General features: G+C 54.6%; 1 protein-coding gene and 1 long non-coding RNA gene across 29 annotated transcripts in view, besides 7 other annotated features; one reads left to right on the top strand and one right to left on the bottom strand.

Moving 5' to 3' along the window:
- The window catches only part of AHDC1 (AT-hook DNA binding motif containing 1), a 69983-nt gene extending 68353 nt beyond the window's left edge, over window positions 1–1630 (top strand). For all 26 annotated transcript variants that reach the window (XR_007059184.1, XR_007059182.1, XR_007059183.1 and 23 more), the window contains one exon: window positions 959–1630. The gene's annotated coding sequence lies outside the window, so the exon portion shown is untranslated. The remainder of the gene's footprint in view (window positions 1–958) is intronic.
- Window positions 5155–13388, bottom strand: LOC105376892 (uncharacterized). Of its 3 annotated transcripts, none has more exons than NR_188658.1 (2): window positions 13329–13388; window positions 5155–5589 (listed from the first exon to the last, which is right to left on the bottom strand). It is a non-coding gene; the product is annotated as an uncharacterized LOC105376892 (long non-coding RNA). The 3 variants fall into 3 exon arrangements; NR_188659.1 differs by lacking the exon at window positions 13329–13388 and adding an exon at window positions 9990–10098; NR_188660.1 differs by lacking the exon at window positions 13329–13388 and adding an exon at window positions 9990–10098 and having other exon boundaries at window positions 5155–5515.
- Window positions 6313–7027: an enhancer, noted in NCBI's record as "H3K4me1 hESC enhancer chr1:27855359-27856073 (GRCh37/hg19 assembly coordinates)". NCBI's record gives its function as "activates a minimal SCP1, AML or CMV promoter by ChIP-STARR-seq in primed H9 embryonic stem cells {active_cell/tissue: H9 hESC(primed)}" and the evidence as "EXISTENCE:reporter gene assay evidence [ECO:0000049][PMID:30033119]".
- Window positions 7417–7776: a silencer, noted in NCBI's record as "silent region_520". NCBI's record gives its function as "represses an Ori minimal core promoter by ATAC-STARR-seq in GM12878 lymphoblastoid cells {active_cell/tissue: GM12878}" and the evidence as "EXISTENCE:reporter gene assay evidence [ECO:0000049][PMID:35858748]".
- Window positions 7797–7906: a silencer, noted in NCBI's record as "silent region_519". NCBI's record gives its function as "represses an Ori minimal core promoter by ATAC-STARR-seq in GM12878 lymphoblastoid cells {active_cell/tissue: GM12878}" and the evidence as "EXISTENCE:reporter gene assay evidence [ECO:0000049][PMID:35858748]".
- Window positions 9917–10006: an enhancer, noted in NCBI's record as "active region_555". NCBI's record gives its function as "activates an Ori minimal core promoter by ATAC-STARR-seq in GM12878 lymphoblastoid cells {active_cell/tissue: GM12878}" and the evidence as "EXISTENCE:reporter gene assay evidence [ECO:0000049][PMID:35858748]".
- Window positions 9917–10573: a biological region, named in NCBI's record as "H3K4me1 hESC enhancer GRCh37_chr1:27851813-27852451".
- Window positions 9935–10573: an enhancer, noted in NCBI's record as "H3K4me1 hESC enhancer chr1:27851813-27852451 (GRCh37/hg19 assembly coordinates)". NCBI's record gives its function as "activates a minimal SCP1, AML or CMV promoter by ChIP-STARR-seq in naive and primed H9 embryonic stem cells {active_cell/tissue: H9 hESC(naive and primed)}" and the evidence as "EXISTENCE:reporter gene assay evidence [ECO:0000049][PMID:30033119]".
- Window positions 12485–13067: an enhancer, noted in NCBI's record as "H3K27ac-H3K4me1 hESC enhancer chr1:27849319-27849901 (GRCh37/hg19 assembly coordinates)". NCBI's record gives its function as "activates a minimal SCP1, AML or CMV promoter by ChIP-STARR-seq in primed H9 embryonic stem cells {active_cell/tissue: H9 hESC(primed)}" and the evidence as "EXISTENCE:reporter gene assay evidence [ECO:0000049][PMID:30033119]".
- Window positions 13389–14819: the final 1431 nt, after the last annotated feature.

Genomic DNA, 14819 nt, shown 5'->3' with positions numbered 1-14819 from the left:
TGTGAATCCAGGGGGTCTAGCCAAGCTGGGGGTCTGGGTAGGGAAGTCAGATCCCCAGGGCCCCGCAAGCATAATGAGAACTGTCTGGGAAAAAGGGGTACTTCCAATCTCGAGTGTCTGGCGATGGGAGGAACTGGGAACTTGGGAGTGTCTGAGCTTCAGGAAGGCAGGGTTAAGCCAAACACAGATGGCATTGTGTTGGGCAGTTTCTCTGTTCTTTCACTGAGAAAGACTTCCTCCTCACCTCACCTCTCTAAGGAACAGAATGGCATTGGTAAGAAGAGGATTGGATTTAGAAGAAATAAAAGCAGTTGTTCACACCTGTGCTGTGTGCTGAGGCCCTGCCCTCCCCATGATGTCATTCCTCAGAACAGCCTAAGTTGGAGGAATTACTAAACTCATCATGACATGAGGAGGCAGGTTTGGAGAGCCTAACTGCCCCAGAAAAATAATAATGAATAATAATCAGTATAATTTATTATGCACTTAAGGACCAGGCTTCATCTGTCCTATACCGCTGAATCCTCCCAGCAAACCAATGGGGTAGTTCAGTTATCTTCTTTTTACAGATGGGCAAACTGAGGCTCACAGAAGTTCAACAACATGCCCAAGGTCATAGCACTACTAAAGGGTGGCACTGGTATTTGAACTCAGCTGTGTCTGATTCCAGAGCCCAAGCTCTTAACAAATTCCACTGCCTGGAACCCCACCTCCTCACCCAGCACCTGCTTCACCCTGTGTTTTGGGGCTTGGACACGCATATTTTACAGATGGGGAAACTGGGCTCAGAGAAGGCAGGTCTGAGTTTTTGTGAGAAAGAACAGTGGTTAGCTTTCCCCCTCACCCTGCTGAATCCTGGGAGGAGCTGGGTGGGGGTCTCCCTCTTCACTTCCCTGATCTCAGAGCACAGTCGATGCGTGCCGCTCACTCCTGCCTCTTCTCTTGTGTTTCTTTGCAGCTTTCAGAAAACCAACGCCAAGATCCCTCCCAGCGTCCACATCGTCCTCTGGCAGGAGCTCCTGCCCCTCTGCCTCCCACCCTGCCCCCTACACCCCCTGCAGACCCATCTCCCTCCACCCCCTCCCACCCATCTCCTCCACGCAGAAGCCGAAGGTGAGCCCTTTCTGCACAAAACCAGCAATTGTAAATACTTTTTAAAAATGTACAAAACTTAAAAACAAAACACAGTTTTAGAAAAAGACAAAAAAAAAAAAGAGAGAGAGAGAGCGAGAGAGCGAGCGTGTGCAAGAGGTTGCGAGCGGGGCCCCGAGGTGTCCAGAGCCCCTGCAAGTATGCACTGAGAAATTTATCTACAGGTCGTTTGACAAAAATGAACAATATCCTATTTATTGTATATACTGTTTTATTATAAATCGTGGATTGTATATTGCATTCTGTAAACCTGCTGTGGTCCCGTGGTGTGCAAATTCGCATGGTGGGGGGGAGGGAGAAGAACCTCTTGCGGGAGCTTTTTTTTTCTTTCTTATTTTTCACTCTTTTGGGTTTTCTCTTCTGTTGTTGTTGTTGTTGTTTTCTGTTGGCAGGACACACCCAAAGATCCAAGTTTGTATTAAAAAGAAATGAAAAAAAGCAAAAAAAAAACAAAAAAAAAACAAAAAAAAAAAACCAACCTTGTGTCTTGTGAAAGGGGGAGTGAGGGTGGAGGGAATGGAAGGGACACCGCTGGGTTTTGTCACCAGCTACTGGTTCTCCAGAGGAGTTGAAATACCTACACGTGTTCCTGGCCACTGAGTTTTCCCTTCTGCCTGAGATCTGGGTTCCCCCTCATTTCACTCCAGGCCCTGCGTCTCCCCTGCCTCTGAGCTCCCCACTCTGCTGCCGAGGACATCCTGGCCCTTGATCATGCGTTCAGTCCCAGGTCCAGGGATTCTGCCTCTTGGACCTCCATTTTGTCCTAGGTCCTGGGTCTCCTCTGACTCTCCCTATATTCTATCCCAAGTCCAAGGTCTCCCCAAATGCTGGGTTTCCTCTCCCTGAGGAACCTCCATCATGGGGCTCCTGCTTCTGGACCCCCTTATTCCATCCAAGGTCCCAGGTCTCTGCCTCGAGTCCCTTTGTGTGTCCTGTGTATTCATGGCCTTTGGGCCTCACAGTTCTACTCTGGTTCAGGGACATCTCTCTTGGCGACACTCATTCCGTCCTAAGTCCCGGAACCCTCATGGGGCCTCCCTTTCCCACTAGGATTGGAGTGCCCCCCGTCTATGTATCTCCCATTTGCCCCAGGTCATCAGTCTTCTCTGCTTCCAGGCCCCTCATTTTACCCCAACACCCCCACATCTGCTTATGCAGAACCTGGGATATGACGAGGCCAGTCACCCCAGTGTTGCTCTGCCCTCCCCTTTCTGTCTACCCTGAACTCCAAATGTTTCCTCCCTGCTTTGGTAAACTTTGGAAAAAGAAAACTCCTAACCCTGTGCCTGCGTCTGGTGGGCCTGGAAGAGCTGAGCTGTTTCCTGATCCCTGACTTTGGGGACCTCTTGGGTGTCCTTGCCCAAATGATGCCCACTTTGGCCTCCCTGGTCTTTGGGAAGCAGTTTTTCCCATAGACCCATTTTATGTTTAAGTTCTGCTGAGTGTGGCTTCACGTCCCTCCTCAGTGAAGCTCAGGGAGATGCCAAGGGATCGTGCCACGGGGCCTGCCCTCCCTGACCCAGCCAGCTAGGCCCTGGCCTCAGGAGAGTCAGAGGAGCCCGTGGTCTGAGGAGGAAACACACCTTCTGGGCACACCTGTCTGGAAGAGGCAGGAGGACTCAGGTCACAGTCCCCTGAAACTGTTGCCTCTGTGCTAGATGCAAAAAGCTCATCCACCCACCAAGCCCCCTCCCTACATCCCCCAGACTCAGAGATGAAGACATTACCCCACGCTTCCTGACTGCTGACGGGGAAGACAACACTACACTCAAGCTAACGATGCAATATGAGCTGGAAGTGGGGGCAAGAAGCAGTGAGACCCCCTGAGAGTTAGGGAGGAGGGCTTCTCTGAGGAGAAAGCTTCTACAGAGCCAAGCCTAAGGTGCTGGGCAGAAAAGTGAGGGAGTTCCTGGAGGAGGAAGAGGATGTGCAAAGGCCTAGAGATGCGAAAGGGTAACAGGAGGCAGGAGCCACAAGCAGTTAGCTCTGTTGGGCACACGCTGTGTTTAGGGAGGGGAGAGGGCTTTGGCAAGGTCACTCTGGGTAAGGTGGAGGCTGGTTGGAGCGGGTGGGCAGCATCAGAGAAAGCAGTGGATGAGGCTCAGATAGGCCAACCGCAGAGAAACCTGTGTTCAGCCTCAAGAATCACCCGCAGGGAGAAAATGCCTGTGTTCAGCGGCTGCTGAGGAAGAAGAAGAGACTCGGGGAGGCTGTCCAGGTGGGGCAGGCCGGGCCCAGTTGGCTTCAAGGGAATCAGAGTGGGGCCTGGTGAGTCCGGCTGAGGGCTCAGAGGAGTGGCGGCCCAGAGGAGGTTTCGGGGAGGGGAGGAGACAGTGGTGGATTGCTCAGTGGAAGGGACTGGGGCTCAACATGAGATAGGTCTTGAGAAGGGGAGGAAGGGCAGTGAAGGGTTGTGGGCCCCAGGGCTTTGGAACTGGGGCAGAGAGAGGAGACCCAGGAAGGAAGTGGGAGTTTGACGGGTTGATTATGGCACAGTGAAGGGGCCCCTTAACTCGAAGGGAAGATGGGGGTTCACTATGAAGAGAGGGGCATAGGGAGAGGGAAGTGATGGTAGGAAGGCTTGGTGAGAACAGGGGCTCCAGGAGATGGGAACGGAGGGGCAGCAAGAGAATGGGCGCTCAGGAAGGGGAGGGGTTTCAGCCTAGGGCCTGCTGCTTAGTAAGGGGTGAGGCAGGCTGTGGTGTATTTTGGAGACCAGACTCGGGAGATGGACCAGGGCCTCTGGGATGGAAGGTTCTCTGTGCCCTTAGTTAAGGGCAGCAAAGACCCTGCACAGTGTATGGTGCAGGTTTGGGGCACACCCTGTTTTGATCCGTTCTTTTCAGAGGTCAGGGCCCTACCACCGCCCCAGTGCCACACCTGATCCCAGAATGCATCAAGGCAATGTGGCTCTCAGATACGTGGGTTTCGCCATCATTTATTAAACACTTCCCTGAGGCGTTTATTCTTCAGAACAATCTTTGAGGTAGAGAAAGATGCTCACTTGGTTTACAGATGAGAAGACAGGTTCCCAGACACAGAGTAAGGGACTGGTCCAAAGCTCACGTGGAAAGTGGCAGAAGTAGGCTGGCCTAGGCTTTAGGCCCTTCCTTTATTTTTTTCCCCCTTTTTGTATTTTTCTTCTATTTCTGCTTTTTAGAGATGGTGTCTTGCCATGTTCCCCAGGCTGGTCTCAAACCCCTGACCTCAAGCAATTCTCCAGCCTTTGCCTCCCAAAGTGCTGGGATTACAGGTGCGAGCCACCACGCCCAGCCTTTTTTTCTTTGTTAAATTTTTTTCCTGCCTGGTGCGGTGGCTCACGCCTGTAATCCCAGCACTTTGGGAGGCCGAGGCGGGCAGATCACCTGAGGTCAGGAGATCGAGACCATCCTGGCTAACATGGTGAAACCCCGTCACTACTAAAAACACAAAAAATTAGCCGGGCGTAGGCGCAGGCGCCTGTAGTCCCAGCTACTCAGGAGGCTGAGGCAGGAGAATGGTGTGAACCCGGGAGGCGGAGCTTGCAGTGAGCCAAGAGGGCGCCACTGCACTCCAGCCTGAGCAACAGAGCGAAACTTCGTCTAAAAAAAAATTTTCCCCTTTCCTTTTTCTTTTTCTTTTTCTTTTTTCTTTTTTTTTTTTTTTTTTTATCCCAAGACAGAGTCTTGCTCTGTCTCCCAGGCTGGAGTGCAGTGGCGCAATCACGGCTCACTGCAACCTCCGCAGTGGCAGCAATTCTCCTGCTTCAGCCTCCCAAGTAGCTGGGATTACAGGTGCCCGCACGCCCAGCTAATTTTTGTGTTTTTACTAGAGACAGGGTTTCACCATGTTGGCCAGGCTGGTCTTGAACTCCTGACCTCGTGATCCGCCCACCTTGGCCTCCCAAAGTGCTGGGATTACAGGCGTGAGCCACTGCACCTGGCCTTTCTTGCTTTTTCATAACAGTTTTAAGGCGGGGCGGGGGGCGGAATCTGCTTATAAAATCCAAAAATTAATCCATTCTATAATTTAAAAATTTTTAATAATAGATATATGGCACTTATATATGCCAGCTGTTCCAAATGCTTTGCATATGTATTAATGCATTTGGTCTCCACCAGAATCCTATGAGGCTTCGTTGTAATGATTATTATCCCCATTTTACAGACAGGAGACTCAAGTGCAGAGAGGTAATTTATGAAGACCACTCAGTGAGTACATTCAAACCAGAACTTACTAAGTGGTGACACCAGAGTTCAGACCAAGCAGTCTGGCTCAGAAGTCTGTGCTTCACTGTACAGTTAAAAGTGAAAATCCTTGGGCGCAGTGGCGCGCGCCTGTGGTTCCAGTTCCTTGGGAGGCCGAGGCAGGAGAATCGCTTGACCTGGGAGGCATAGGTTGCAGTGAGCTGAGATCGCGCGACTGCACTCCAGCCTGCGTGACAGATCCAGACTCCATCTCAAAAACAAAAAAACAAACAACAAAAAAAGTGAAAATCCTCTCTACTCCCATCCCTGGCTATAACCCCTGTGTCAACACTTGTTAGTCTATTCATGTACATAAGGGGTTCTAGATCCTAGAAAGGAATTGCCTGGAGAGCTTCAAAATGCCGATGCCCAAGTCCTACCCCAAAATATTCCGATTTTATGGGTCTGGGGTGGGGCCTGGGCATGGGGATTTTTGAAAGCTTCTTGGGTGGTTCCAACACACAGCCCACTGGATAACCTCTAATTGAGCTGTTGAGCTGAGTGTCACACACACCTGTATTTAGTGTACTGTCCTAGGTGTGTGTACACTGTGATATCCATTAGCGTTTTTCACTCTGAGTGGCTGTCAGTTACTATGGGTTCTCCCCCACACCAGAGACCTGGTATGAACATATTTATTCAAACATTTCTTAAGCACCTTCCAGGCACCGTCGAAGGCACTTGGGGAGTCAACAGTGAGCAGGACAGTCAGGGGCCCTGCCTTTGAGTGTCTAATCTGATGGAATTGACAAATTTAGTCATGCGTTTTTCCCTGTGAGTAGCAGGGGTTCGAGCCCCTCGAGGGTTGCTGAGAGGGGGAAAGAGGGGTGGACATCTGACCCTCACACCTTAGGACGGGGAGAGACTTTCTGGTGTGGCTGTGTATGCTGGGTCTTCTGGCCCTGTGTGGATGAGATTGAGAGAGGGAGGCCCAGGGCATGTTTCTGGGCTTGAATGAGTGTGGCTGGCTGTGTGGCATGTGTGTAAAGGTGTGCATGATTTGGGCCTGTGAAAATGTGGACGGTGGTGGTGGGGAGAGGAGGTTTTGAATGGAGGGGGGCTGTGTACAAGGTAGGCACTAGCCCAGTGCGTCACACAGATGCGCACATGCATGTACACGTGTCCACACACACACAGCCAGCTGTGAGGAGGAGGCTGGCTTCCAGTCCCAGGGCCAGGAGAACTCTGCTTTGGGTATGTGGGGGAGGCACAGCTGGGGCTGGAAACTCTAGAGTGGGAGGGAGGGAGAGAGGAAGGGAGGCTGAGGAGCCGCATCCTTGATCTCTTCTGTTTCTGCAGTTCCGGACGCCGTGCTCTGGGTCTCTGTGTGCCTCTGAGTCTCCCTCTCTCTAATGTCCGGATCTTGGCATCTCTGTGCCTCTCTTCTCCGTCTTGGGCTTTGAGGCTGATCACGTGACTGGATCTCCACCTCTCCAGCCTACTTGGCTGTGTCTCCCTCCATGTCTCTGTCTCTGCCTCCATGTCTGCCTCTGCCTCTGCCTCCGTGTCCTTCCCTGTCCTTGCCAGGTGGGGGGAAGGGGGCCCAGTGCTCAGGGAGCAGGTGTCGGCTCACTCAGGCAGCAGGGAGTGAAGCCGAGGAGGGCAAAGAGCCAGCAGCCCCTGGACACACAGCCACACTCCAGGAGACGTGGGGCACTCACAGGAACACACAGTGATATGCATGGAGAGAGGGGCTCCTGAGGGCACTTACAGGGACATAGACGTACAAAAGTCCACACACAGCCACACCCGAAACACTCAGGGATGCCAGACAGATATCCACGGGCCACACACAGACACAAAGGCGCACACACAGGTACTCATTCTGGCACACACGGACATCCAGAGTCGCCGACACACCCAGGGCGTTCCTCCTGGGGAAAACCCAGAGACATGGACGCGCACACGGACACACACACACCCCTTGGGCTCGTACAGACACAGATACAGAGGCACAGGTACGCTCGGTTAACTGGCAGTCACTCAGGCACTCGGGGCTAAGGAGGCAGATGAGCACAGACAGGCACAGACCCTCCAGGACAATCGGAGACCGACATAAAAGCACAGCAGGCCGGCCGAGGGACCCACTGAGGGGCACACCCAGGCGCGGGCAGAACGTCCTCAAGGACACACTCCTCCCTCGGGCCTCACTCTGGAGCACCTGGGGACACGCCCATGGGCGGCTGCACGGGCGGCAGGACGCCCCAGCGCACCTGGCGCCCCCGGCGTTCCCCTAGGCGCCCGAGCCGAGTGTGCGTGCGTGCCCGTGCGCGCCGCCACCTGTGGGAGGAGAGGTGCGCGCTGCGCCCGGGGCTGCCCGCCTAGCGCTGCGCGGGGGGAGCTGTTGCCATGGCGCGCAGAGCGCGGCCGCATACTAATGGGGCGGCCACGGGCGCTGCCCCCACAGCTGCCCCCCTGCCGGCCGGGCTCCCTCCTCCAACTCCTTCCTCCGGCTCCAGCCAAGTCACCCCGGGGCTGGCGGCCCTGGCCCACGCACCCCACCCGGTGGGCCTGAGCCCCTTGCCTAAGGCCTAGGGGCCCTCGCCTCCCCTTTCCCGGCAGAGAAGTCCCAGGCCGGGCAAAGGGCGGCGCTGGGGCCGGCGAGGGCGAGGGCGACGGCGAGGGCGAGGGCCTGGGCGCTGCGGGGGCTGCCTGGCCCGGACTCAGGCACCAAGCGGGCACGGCAGCTGGGAGCGCAGGTGCTGCCCTGGAAATGGGGTGGTTGTCCTGGGAGGGGGCGGGACAGGGGAAATAAAGGGGGAATTTAACCCTTCCTTCCCCCAGGCTTGGCTGGGGAGGGGAGAGGCCTTGACCAAGCCCTGCGCCATCTGCCTCCAGCGTCTCTCCAGTCCTGGTTGTGGCTGCACTGAGGGTCCCCATCCCTCAGGACGTGCTCCTCATCACTCCAGGCCCTAAAGTGACTGGTGAAGTTAGGGGTGTGTGAAGTGCCCCAGGACTAGGTGGAGGGGGTGGTGGCACGTGAAGGGTTAATACGTCCTCATACCTTGATTCCAGTCCCGGAGCTGCCCTGACCCCCTACCCCCTCAGTCCCGCTGTGTTAATTGGCGCGGAGGGGTGAGGCCTATCCTGGCGTGGGGGGAGCCAGCAGAGGGTTTGCAGGTAGAGGCAGTGGGAGGGGGCCTAATGGAGGGGGGAGCCAGGCGGTTGCCTAGCAACCCCACAGCTGTCTGTTGACCTAGAAGAAGCTGCGCCGTCTTGACACAGCTGGTGTTTACATGTAACCGAGGCTCTGGCTTAGCGCTTGCTTGGAGGAAAGCTGAGGTAGGGCCCTCGTGGCAGCCTGGCCCCGGCCCCCGGCTGTCGTGGGCTCCCTGCCTGCCTGCCCTCTTTGCTTCAGCTCCCACCTGAAGTCCAACGGAGAAAGAGTGGGAGAGCAGATCTCAGGGTTGCAGGCTGTGGGGCTGGGGAAAGTTGCTGAACACACACACACATACACACACACACACACACACACACACACACACACAATGCCTGAGGCCTTCCACACAGAAATGGTGGGAGATTAGGAAAAGCAGAGGCAGATTCCAACCCACATGGAAAACACCAACATACAGAGGGACACGTGGCCCTACAGACCTGCAAAATCAAACTGACCTAGGCACGCAACACAGGCACGGAGGTACCGCAGACATAATGACAACCAGGAAGACAGACACACAGACACACAGAAACATGGTAATTGAAACACTGACACACAGATGCACCTACATACACCTCCATACACAGAACAAACAGGCACTGACCTTCTGACAGAGACACACACCCGAGCACATTGACACACAAACAGAAACCCCCCATGGTGACATCAGCAACTCCCACATGAATGCAGAGTCCATCCCTGCTAGTATCTGCAGGCCTGCACAATGAAAGGCAGAAACCCACATACACAGTCATCCATGTGCACACACAAGAACACAGAGAAGGTCGGGTGTGGTGGCTCACGCCTGTAATCCCAGCACTTTGGGAGGCCGAGGCGGGCAGATCACCTGAGGTCAGGAGATCGAGACCATCCTGGCTAACATGATGAAACCCTCTTGCTACTAAAAATACAAAAAATTAGCCGGGTGTGGTGGCACACGCCTGTAGTCCCAGCTACTCGGGAGGTGTCAGAGCGAGACTCCGTCCCCCCCTCCAAAGAAAAAAAGAACACAGAGAAACATACAATACACTCAACTTGTACCGATTGACCACAGTGCCCAAGGCAGGCAGTCGCTGACACCACTGATGCAGGCAGGAGCCCGACATGTGGAGAGGCACAGGTCCCCAGAGGACCACGGGCCCTGACATGTCCCACCTGCACCCACACAAGTACCCATAGCACAAACACGTGCCTGCCTAGGGTGTGGTGTGGGCAGAGCTGAGACTCCTCCCTACCCACAAGCTCATCATCACAGCAGATCTGCCCTGGGGTCAGAGGGCCCTAGTGGCCCCAGAACCAGAGCCCAGTGAAGCCCTGTCTGGCCTGGGCTGCATCCGTAACCCTCAGGCTTAGGGAGGAGACAGCACCAGCCTTTTCCCTGGGAGCCCCTGGCCTGAAGGAGACAGAGCTCTGTCCCCTGGAGTCCCTGGATGGGCAGAAGAGGCACAGACCTGCTCTGTGGAGCTCCAGTCTGATGGGGGCCATATCTCCTTGCCAGGTAGACAGACACACAGACACACACAGCTCCTGGGGGGTTCTTGAGGGCTTCCTGAAAGAGGTGAGCCTGAAGCCTGGCTTTGGAGCCCAAGAGGAAAGGGGGAAGGGTGTGTACGAAGGAGGGCCTCCCTTCCTTCCCCTGTGCCCCGCCCCCTCATCCAGCAGTTCCTCCTCCCCGCAGGGCCCAAGGGGCCGGCTGGGGCCCCACAGTCCCATCAGCCCAAGCAGTGAGCAGAAGGAGGAGAGCAGATATTTTTAGCTTCTCTGCCACTGACATTTCGCAGCAGGCGACCTGGGGTGAAGCTGAGTGAGTGCTGAAGGCTGGGAGAAGCCGACAGCGCCTTCCCACCCCCATGTACAAGCACACACAACTGTGCATGCACACAGTTGTGTGCAATGCTCACAGACGTGGCCCAGCTTCAGGTACACAGTCACACGCCTAGACACACATGCACCTGTGCACGTACTTGGTTCATAGGCCACTTATGCTAGAAACCTCACACACTCAAGACACAAAAAATTTATCCATTCACACACCCAGACACACACGCACGATTCATACACCTAACACACTTCCCACACCCTGCCAAGCATGCACACTTTCATTCATCATTCATTGGAGAAATATGTATACAGTGCCTACTAAGTGTTGGGCCCTATTCTGGACACTAGGAATAGATTAGCAAAATAGTTAGCAAAATAGATAAAAATTTCAGTCCTAATAGAGTTTACATTCTGACAGGGGAAGTTTGACAATAAACAAAAAATAAAAAATAAAGTATAGCCTTAAGAACCACAAATATAGGCCAGGCACGGTGGCTCGCACCTGTGATCGCAGCCCTTTGGGAGGTCGAGGTGGACAGATCACTTGAGGCCAGGAGTTCAAGACCAGCCTGGGCAACATGGCAAAACCCCGTCTCTACTAAAAATACAAAAATTAGCCAGGCGTGGTGGCACACACCTGTGATCCCAGCTACTCGGGAGGCTGAGACACGAGAATTGCTTGAACTCAGGAGGCAGAGGTTGCAGTGAGCCGGGATCCTGACACTACACTCCAGCCTGGGTGACAAGAGTGAAACTCCATCCAAAAAGAACGACACATATAACCTAATCCCCCAAAATACACAACCGCACATGTGAACAGCTTCCTAATATTCACTGCTCCACAAATACACACAACTGCACACACAACCTACAGGCAAGACTCATACAGGTAACTCCACACATATACCTCAAGACAATTACAAACATGTATACACATCCACACTTATATGCAGTTACACATTTAACATGTAAATACTTAAGCAATTCAAACACATGGTACATATTCATCCAGACACACACACACACACACACACACACACACACACCACACACAATTGTACAGAGCTATACAGTTCACCTGCCTACATACACAGGATACAGCCTCCCCAAGAACATGTAAGGCAGGTTCACACAAATCCTTCCACACATAGACAACCACTCCCTGCCGGTCATAGACACACATTCCTGCAGTCCTTCCCCTCCCCACTGAAATCCCAGCTTGTCTGCCACTGGGTCATGTATGTTCATAGGTGTCCACACAGAGTCCTAGCGTACTCGCAACCTCACGCACACTCTCAACAACCCTGCTGCAAAGAGACCACACACACTAAGTCAACGCATGCCCAGGTTCATGCCCCCTAGGTACCTGCAATCCCCTCCCTCCTTTTCCCATGAGGGCAGTTCGGTCACTGCACCCCACACCTGCACCCCGAATACTGACCCCAGGACTCCAACCCAGCTGCCCCCAGGGTTTGGGGGTTGGGCCCAGACCCTACAGGAGCCCTGGGGTCCTCTCCCCAAGGCCCCAAGAGGCAGGACTCAGAGTCTCTGAGCTCAGAGCTCGCCCCTGTGCCCAGGCTGGAGGTGGAGGTAAAGGGCAGCCTGGGCTTCTCAGCTCTGCCGCCAGTGCCCTCCCCTTGCTCTTCTCTCCTCCTTCCTCTCGTCTCAAATTCCTTTCGTTCTGTTTCTCTGTCTCCCCATCCCACCCCTATCTCTCCAATAGCCCTTGGCCAAAAACCAAGCCCTCTTCTCTTCCGTATTCTGCCAGAGGGTATTGAAGCCCTGTGACAAACAGATGGACTAACAGGCAGACAGACATATCACTTGGGCAACAAAAGCAACACAAAAAAGAGGTCGTTGTCATATCCCGAAGACCTGGGAGGAAGAAAAGATAAATGGACCAAGGGAAAGATAAGACTAAGTGGCCCATGGGCCAACATGCACAGCTAGGAGAAGGAGCCCTGGATTCCAGTCCTGGTTCTGCTGTGTGACCCTGGATCAGCTGCTGCTCCTCTCTGGGTCTTTTCTGCCTCTGTACAAACAGGGAGTTGCGGTAGGTGTTTTTTTGAGGCAACAGGACTCTCAAAGACACTGCAGCAGTTGTATAAACAGGGAGAGGAGCTGGGGGCCTTGAGGGCCTGGTTAGAGCCATAAAAGCCCCTCCCCAGAGGCTCTCCACAGCCTCTTCCCCGCCCTAGGCCTGGGCTCCAGTCTGGGTTGAAGCACCAGAGGCCAACAGCACCCCCTGCCCCCAACATGCATAAACACATGTGCTCCTCCGAGACTCAGCTACTTCCTTTGCCCTCTCTGGACCTCAGTGTCCAGGCTTGTGCATTTAGGGGCTCAGGTTTGGGCTCTGTGCCTATGAGCCAGTCTATGTGTGCACTGTCTGTCTGTCTGTCCGTCTGCCAGCAGCCTTCAGGCGCCAGGAGGGGAGGCAGCAGTGGAAGGTGGGGGCAGGGAAGGAGGTAGCGTTGACAAGTTCCAATGTCTGGCTTTCCCTCCTGGAAACCCCGAGCTGGGGCTGGCCCCCCCTTCCCTTCCTGTCTCTCTCGCTCAAGCACGTCCCTTCTAAGAGCCCCTCTCTGCAGACGCCCCCAGTGGAACCAAGCCCAGATTCGCTGCCAAGAAGGCCGACATTTCTTAGACTTGCCACGTTAAAGGGGCCTGCACAGGCACGCACTCAAATCCCCCCCTCCATGTCCTCCGCCTGTGCACATTCAGGCAACCCGAAACACACAAAGACACGGTTGGACACAGCGGCCACCTGTGCACACAGGAGGTAGCACATGGAGCGCATCTGACCCCGGGCTCACAGACAAGTACAAACATAGCCATGGACTCCCTCCGCCCTCCTCCATTCAGCCTGCCACAGACCCAAGCACGCAGTTTCCAGCGCACCGTGCTCACAGACACGCACAAACGCAGTCACACGCAGGGCCTTGCCACATAGAGAAACAAGTGCAAACCTGTAGCACAGCACCGTCACCATCACCACCACCGCCGCCGCCACCGCCCTGTGTAAATGCAACCACAGAAACACAATGCCTGTGCTGCCTGTTCCCTGTACACACAGCCAAGCATATACAGTCACACAGTGTTCCCCTGAGTCACTCTCAACAACCACACAGACAAAGTCTGTTGGGCACAGAGGCGCCCATACCCATCCTCTGGACATTTGGACTAGCCCACACCACCAGTACTGTGCCTTCCTGGGCACAAGACATGCACAAAATCCCAGCCACCTGCAGAGTTCCCTTCTGCACACACACTGTCCCTTGCACATACACAGACAAGCTCAAACCCACAGTTATGCTGTTATCCTCTTGTACACCATAAAATCACAGGGGCTCCCAACACACCCAGATGTGACATACACAAACTCAGGCACATGTACCGACTCTTTTGTGCATACAAAGATTTATTGGCACTGACGTGGTGCCCATCTGCTACCATGTGCACACACTGCTAGATCTCGCACGTCTCTGTACACAGGCCTGCGTTCAAACTCAGGGCATACAGCTTTCCCTTGTGCTTACACAAACACACAGTGGCCCCCGATGTCGGCACAAACCCACACACATAGCATCATCACCTGTGCACATTGAGGCAAACACAGACTCACAAACCACCCCAACGTGCTCTTCCATGCACACACATATGTGTGCATGCTCCCACAGACAGACCCAGCTATCGGAACCTCATTCTCAGACACTGCAGTCCCCTGGCCCCCAACCCCAGCTTCCTGCCTCCTTCCCTTGGCCGGCGAGGGTGGGGAAGGGCTGGGAAGGCTGGGGGCTGGCTCAGCCCTTGTTCCCTCCCTCCACCGGCTGGCTCGCTCCCTCCTGTCTGGCAGAGTCAGCCAGCCAGCCCAGCCCCGGCTCCGGCAGCCCTGACTGCTCTGGGCAAACTCTCGGCGGGTTGGTCTCGGCTGATGCCGCATCAGCAGCAGCAGCAGCAGGGGCGAGAAGGCTGAGGGTGGATGCCAACGTGGCAGACGGCAGGCAGGGCGGCAGGAAGGAAGCTGGGCCCGTTCTGCGCCCACTCACTGGGGGAGACAAAACCAAGGGGGCTGGATGAGCAAGCGAGGCAGCTGGGCAGGGGACCTCGTGCACAGCCTGGCTCTGGGCCCACACTGGCCCCAGACTCACGGAGTGACCTTGGGGAACTTGCTCCCCTTCTCTGGCTCTATTTGCCCCTTCAGCAAGTGGATAGTATGGACTGGACACTCCTCCAGGTCCAAATCCTTGCATCCAATTCAGTGCTCTGTGGCCTCGGGCTAGTCCCTTCCCCTCTGGAATCTTAGCCTTTCAGCCCAACAATAAAAATTCTTCACCTCTGTATGGCTACAACTATTGATAAAAGGTTTTCAATCTACAAAATTAGCACCATTTTATAAATAAGAAAACTAAGGTTCAGAGAGGTCAAACAATCCACCCAAGGTTACCCAGCAAGAGAGT

Source organism: Homo sapiens, chromosome 1 (genome assembly GCF_000001405.40).
Source record: "Homo sapiens chromosome 1, GRCh38.p14 Primary Assembly".
Lineage (NCBI taxonomy): Eukaryota > Metazoa > Chordata > Mammalia > Primates > Hominidae > Homo > Homo sapiens.
This window is presented reverse-complemented; position numbering and strand designations above follow the sequence as displayed.